This window comes from Homo sapiens, chromosome 13, assembly GCF_000001405.40.
Source record: "Homo sapiens chromosome 13, GRCh38.p14 Primary Assembly".
Classification (NCBI taxonomy): Eukaryota; Metazoa; Chordata; class Mammalia; order Primates; family Hominidae; genus Homo; species Homo sapiens.
In genome coordinates, this window is record NC_000013.11 from 52,161,014 (window position 1) to 52,167,579 (window position 6,566).

At 42.4% G+C, this 6,566-nt stretch overlaps 1 annotated feature.

Annotated features, from left to right (window-relative positions):
* Nucleotides 281-575: a silencer, noted in NCBI's record as "tiled region #2809; HepG2 Repressive DNase matched - State 5:Enh". NCBI's record gives its function as "represses a minimal TATA promoter and a strong SV40 promoter by Sharpr-MPRA in HepG2 cells {active_cell/tissue: HepG2}" and the evidence as "EXISTENCE:reporter gene assay evidence [ECO:0000049][PMID:27701403]".

Sequence of the window (6,566 nt, forward strand, 5' to 3'; positions counted from 1 at the left end):
GTCTGAGAATTGCAGTTCAAGGAACACAGATTCCAGAAGCATTTGAATTGTGTCCTGACCAGCTATTTTTGGGTAGGGTTTTTAAAGGAAGTAAGAAGTCAGTTCTCACTAGTTCATCCATAACCTTCGTAACCCACTATTTTGATTGAAGATAAAGCGTTATCATGACAGTTCATTGGTTTCTAGGCAAAAGTCCTTGATTCAGGGGTTTGAGAAAAGTTCAGTCCTCAGCATGAAGTCCTTTTCATAATGGCAGCAATTTTGTCTGCAACATCAGCAAGTACATTCTGCAGTCAGGCAGTTGTAAAATGGCATTCAGGAACAAAATGGCTTTGCTCTGGCCAGCTCCAATTGCCTTCCTTCCACAATGTCAAAGTTAATGTACAACTATTCTGTAGTGTGGTGATAAGAGAAGGGAAATGCTACAAATCAACATTTACAACATCTGCACTGCTTTCTTTGTACTCTATACAAAGACTAGTTTCAATTAAAAACAAAGAAGGCCAGGCACGATGGCTCAGGCCTGTAATCCCAGCACTTTGGGAGGCCGAGGTAGGCAGATCACCTGAGGTCAGGAGTTCGTGACCAGCCTGGCCTACATGGTGAAACCCTGTCTCTACTAAAAATACAAAAATTAGCTGGGCATGGTGGGTGGCGCCTGTAACCCCAACTACTCGGGAGGCTGAGGCATAAGAATCATTTGAACCTGGGAGGCGGAGGTTGCAGTGAACCAAGATCGTGCCACTGCACTCCAGCCTGGGTGATAGAGCGAAACTCTGTCTAAAAAAAAAAAAAAAAAAATACTGCCCATGCCTGTACTCAGAATGCTGCTCTTGAGAACTGAGCAAAAGACAGATTTCTATCAGATTAAATTTGTGACAGCATCAGGGGAGAAGATGACAAAGGTGCTTAATGCTTTTCTTTCCCACCCAATGATGGCAGTCATGAAAGGGATTCTTTCCCTTGTTCCATCGGTGTATTAGTTTGCCAGGGCTGCTGTAACAGAGTCCCACAAGCTAAATGAATGGTTTAATCAAATTTATTATCTCATACTTCTGGAGGCTAGAGGTCCAAAATAAAGGTGTTGACAGTGTTGGTTTCTTCTGAGGGCTGGAACGAAAAGATCTGTTCCAGGCTTCTGTACTTGACTTGTAGATGGCCTTCTTCTCCCCCACATTGCCTTTCCTTTATGTGTACTGTCTCTGAGTCTAAATTTCCCCTTGTATAAGGACACCAGTCATATCAGATTGAGGGACCATCCTACCCCAGTGTGGCCTCATCTTAACTAATTATATCCTTAACAACCCTATTTCCAAATAAGATCACATTCTGAGGTACTGCACATTAGGACTCCAGCGTATATTTTGTGGGGGATGCAATTCAACCTGTAAGTCAGTAAGAATAGACTGGTGAGGGTAGGGAGAGGGGATGGTGAGAGAAGGTCTGGCCCCCTTTTTATGCAGCTGTTGCCAAGCTGTGGATACCCAGCCAGGAGAGCTTCTGGATATATCCAGAAATAATAAAACGCCACTTCTCCTGAGATGACTGGGAGTTTTCACTCTGTATTAACTGCTTTGTAGTCTACAGTTATATAGACTTTCTTATACTTTTTAACTTCGGTTTGGTTTAAGAGCCACAAGATGACTCACCGAATATATTTCCAGGCATTAAAATAGATGATCTCTGACCCTCACCAGGATTGTTATGTTTGGTTTTTGTTTTGTCAAAGGGGAAAAAAAAAGTTGAGTAGAGGAAGACCTAGAACAAAAAGCAATTGTTCCTTGCTTTTTATCTCCCCAGCTTCAGTCCCACTTCCAAAGGGCAACCACTTTGACCTTTGTGGTTTTAAATTCTCCTGATGATCTTCAACTGTATGAATAGGATTAAGCTGCTATTTTGTGACACTATTGACTCTTGCAAGGACTGATAAAAAGTCAGCTTAATTCACCCCCCTAAGGTGCACATGGTAGTTAACACTATGATTTAGTCCTATTGTTCACTTTAGTAACTTTAATATCCTTAAACTGTTGTTTTTAGTTCTATTAAATACAGACAGCGCCTCTTGGTTCTCCATTTCATGATAGGAAGAACTCTTACTTCCCTTGAACTCCCCACCTCTGCTTCTACCTCCAAATTTCTTATTTTTTAGAAATGAGGCCTCCCTCTGTTGCCCAGGCTGGAGTACCTCTGGTGCAATCATAGCTCATTGCAGCCTCAAACCTCTGTACCTCCAAACTTTTCAAAGCTGTACTCTCTTAGATTTCCACAACTGATAACATTTATATTCCCTTCTGTAACTAAGTCTTCTTTTTTTTTTTTTTGAGATGGAGTCTCGCTCTGTCGCCAGGCTGGAGTGCAGTGGCGCCATCTCAGCTCACTGCAACCTCTGCCTTCGGGGTGCAAGTGATTCTCCTGCCTCAGCCTCCCACGTAGCTGGGACTGCAGGCGTGCACCACCACGCCCAGATAATTTTTGTATTTTTAATAGAGACGGAGTTTCAACATGTTGGCCAGGATGGTCTTGACCTCTGCCTGCCTCAGCCTCCCAAAGTGCTGTGATTAGAGGCATAAGCCACCACGCCCGGCCTAAGTCTTCTATAAGTTGGTTCTAATAGACAATAACCAATAAGCAGCATTAACATTATGAAAATGTTGGTCCACAGCAGAGCTAAGCAGTTTGCTGGGCCTGATTTTCCTGTGTAATCACAATGTCTCAACCCTGTGCTGTTCAGTTTCTCAAAATCATGGTTACTTTGTTGTTGTTGCTTTGCCTAGTACTTTTTTGTTGTTGAAAGAAATCTGTGCCATCTTACCCATTCTATTTTCTTGGAATATTTTTTTGAAAGCCCACTGATGACTCAGTTTAACTCATATTTGTATTGTGATTTTCTTGTAGAGTCTTTTAGGAAATATAATTTCTAGGTACTTTTCTTATTTTCCTTTTCTTTGCCTGAAGTATATCTTCAAGTTCTTCCAACTGTATATTCCATGAAATACCTTTGTTTCCTGGATCCCCCGTTCTTGCTCAGATATGAACTGGTGGCTTAGTCACCCACAAAACTGACATTCTGAGTCACATCTGCAGCTGCCTGAATCCCATGGCTTCCTCAGGATACTCTGCTCTTTTACTGATGGAGTACCTGCTCTAATAACTCCTCCTTAAGAAAAGGTGTCTGGCAGGTAAGCTTTCTGAGTCTTTGCATGTGTAACAATGTCTTTATATTGCCCTCGCAAGTAATTTGACTGGGTAGAGGCGTCTCAAGTTGAAAATCATTTTCCCCCTGAACTTTCAAGCTATTATTCCACCATTTTTAGTGCAGCTGATGATCAATCTAATGCCAGCATGCCTTTTGTTTCTTGTAGAAGTTTGTGTTCCCGTTTCTGGAAAGCTTTTGAATAGCTGGTCATTTATTGAACAAATTTTATTGAGCTGCTACTCTATGGCAGCCACAAGGGCTAGGACCTAGGAACACAATGGTGAAGACTAGATTATTTCTAATGAAGTTTCCCACATATCCACCAAAGACAATGCTTGAGGCATCTTCCTTTTTCTCAGAGGCAGAAACCAAATTAGCTTAACTTTGAAATACAGAGATTTTATTTTTTTAATTTATTTTTTGAGACAGTCTTGCTCTGTCACCCAGGCTGGAGTGCAGTAGCACAGTCTTGGCTCACTGCAACTTCCGCCTCCCAGGTTCAAGCAATTCTCCTGCCTCAACCTCCCAAATAGCTGGGATTACAGGCGCCAGCCACCAAGCCTGGCTGGTTTTTGTATTTTTAGTAGAGGCCGGGTTTCACCATATTGGCCAGGCTGGTCTCAAACTCCTGACCTCTGGTGATCCGCCTGCGTCGGCCTCCCAAAGTGCCAGGATTACAGGCGTGAGCCACCGCGCCCAGCCCAGAGATTTTATTCTTAGAGCTCCAGAAAAGTGGGCTAGGTAGATAGTGAACATGTTAGATGCTGGCGTTAGCTCACTGCAATATTAATTTAGATGTGTGATTATAAGGAAGAAGAACACAATTTAACAGAAAATCTTTCTGTTCATAGTGTTTTCCTCTACTTTCCACCTTTCCCATATCTGTTTTGGTCTGACACTATAGGGTACATCACTGTGAAATCAAAAACAAGCAAGCATGTACCCTTTGTCCTCAAAGGCTGGCATGCAGGCCTATGAACTTGGAAAGACAACAAAGCTTCTAGTATGATAAACAAAGAAAATGGAGAATAAAAAGTCTGATTTCCTCTTCCTGGCATCAGCAAATACCAGCTGTCAGAGAGCTCTGAGTAATCTACCCCTCCTATTCCTAAAAGGTAATTAATATTAAAACATTGCCAAAAGGAGGTATATTTAGATTTTCAATTAAAATGACACAAATGAAGTGGCAATGCAACAAATATGAGAGAAAAATTTTAAATTGTAGTATTTATATTTGTGATGTTTTTCCCATCTAATTCCACTCTCTCCAGTGGTCCCTGAAACATCACCAGCAGGCTGACATCCTGATAAACTCTAAAAGGAAGGAAAACATAATCTAAAAGGCAGGGTGGGTGTGGCAGTTAGAGGTCACCACGAAAAAGAAGGCAAGTGCAGCTACTCAAGGGATACAGATAAGTCATTAGGGTCAAGGGTTGAAGCGAAGTACATGACATTGCAGACTGCCCCTATGGTAACTAATGACAGACTTCTAGTAAAGGAATAAAACCTTAAGGTTCTTTTGTTTAGCCCTTACTGCCAAACAAAGCAAGTTGTAAGACCAGTCCTAACATTTCATCAAGCAGCAGGAAGCTTCCTTCCATTGGGAAAAGCTAATAGAGGTGTCTCTTCATACCTTCTTATTACAAAAAAAAAAAGGGCCAGCTTTCTCCTGATGTTTCTGCTATTAGAGAAGATTTGTAGGCCGGGCTTGGTGGCTCACACCTGTAATCCCAGCACTTTGGGAGGCCAAGGCAGGCAGATCACTTGGGGTCAGGAGTTCAAGACCAGCCTGGCCAACATGGCGAAACTCCATTTCTACTAAAAATACAAAAATTAGTCAGATGTGGTGGTGGGTGCCTGTAATTCCAGCTACTCAGGAGTCTGAGGCACGAGAATTGCTTGAACCTGGAAGGCAGAGGTTGCAGTGAGCCAAGATTGTGCCACTGCACTCCAGCTTGAGTGACAGCGTGAGACCCTGTCTCAAAAAAAAAAAAGACTTGTAAAGTTTGTGATGGCAGAGTGGAAAAAGCATATTTAGAATAATGTATCCATGCCTGTCCTAGCAAATCCTGTTACTCTCCCGGAACCTCAAATGTCTTGTCTGTGGCCAGGCATGGTGGGTCATGCTTGTAATCCCAGTATTTTGGGAGGCCGAGGTGGGCGGATCACAAGGTTAGGATTTCGAGACCAGCCTGGCCAACACAGTGAAACCCTGTCTCTTCTAAAAATACAAAAATTAGCAGGGCATGATGGTGGGCGCATGTAATCCCAGCTACTTGGGAGGCTGAGGCAGAAGAATCACTTGAACCCGGGAGGCAGAGGTTGCAGTGAGCCAAGATCGTGCCACCGCACTCCAGCATGGACGAAAGAGCTAGACTCCCTTGCACGGGAAAAAAAAAAAAAAAAAAAAAGTCTGTCAAGTGTAGAAGACTGAAAACGCAAACAAAAGCGATTCTAAATTTCTACAAAGGCTTATTTCCTCTATTTCCTTCTTTAACTCATGCTTCTAATTTAAAAAGCTTCGCTGTGCACTGTAACTGATGCCTGTAATCCCTACACTTTGGGAGGCCAAGGTGGGTGGATCACGAGGTCAGGAGCTCGAGACCATCCTGGACAATATGGTGAAACCCTGTTTCTACTAAAAATACAAAAATTAGCCAGGCATGGTGGGCATGTGCCTGTAGCCCAGCTACTCGGGAGGCTGAGGCAGAAGAATCTCTTGAACCCAGGAGGTGGAGGTTGCAGTGAGCTGAGATCGTGCCACTGCACTCCAGCCTGGCGACAGAGCAAGACACAATCTCAAAAAAAAAAGCTTAAACTGTAAAATTCTAAACTGTTCTCCCTGTTTTATATATACCTAAAGTTAATTAATGCATTTTCTGAACAACATAATAAAAGTTATGTTTAAGAACAACATACATGCACCAGTTCCCCCGCTGAGGTCTCTGCTGCCAGTTTGGTCCAGGAACACGTAATCAGCATCCTGGTCCCAGGTAGTGGCATGGTCAGTACCTACTGCCCATTTCCTCAGAAGACAATACTGTCCTTTCCAAAATGTTTACTATTTATTTGCTCAGAACAGATAGGTCTTCATTTGACTCACTACCTAAACCACCAGCTTCTTACATTATCTCTTTAAAGCAGAAGTCTTATAATTTTGTCGTCACCTGGACTCAACTCTCATCTGAAAGTTCTTCTTGAATATCTGTGGTATCACCATTTCTAAGTAGCTCAGCAGTCTAATGGTCATAGTTAACTTAATCAGTCAAATATGAAATCTGTTTGATGCTGCCATTGTAGGAGTCAAATTCTTAATGTATTTATAACTTAATAAATTGCAATTCAGAGTTATGACACCAAGTTAACTTTG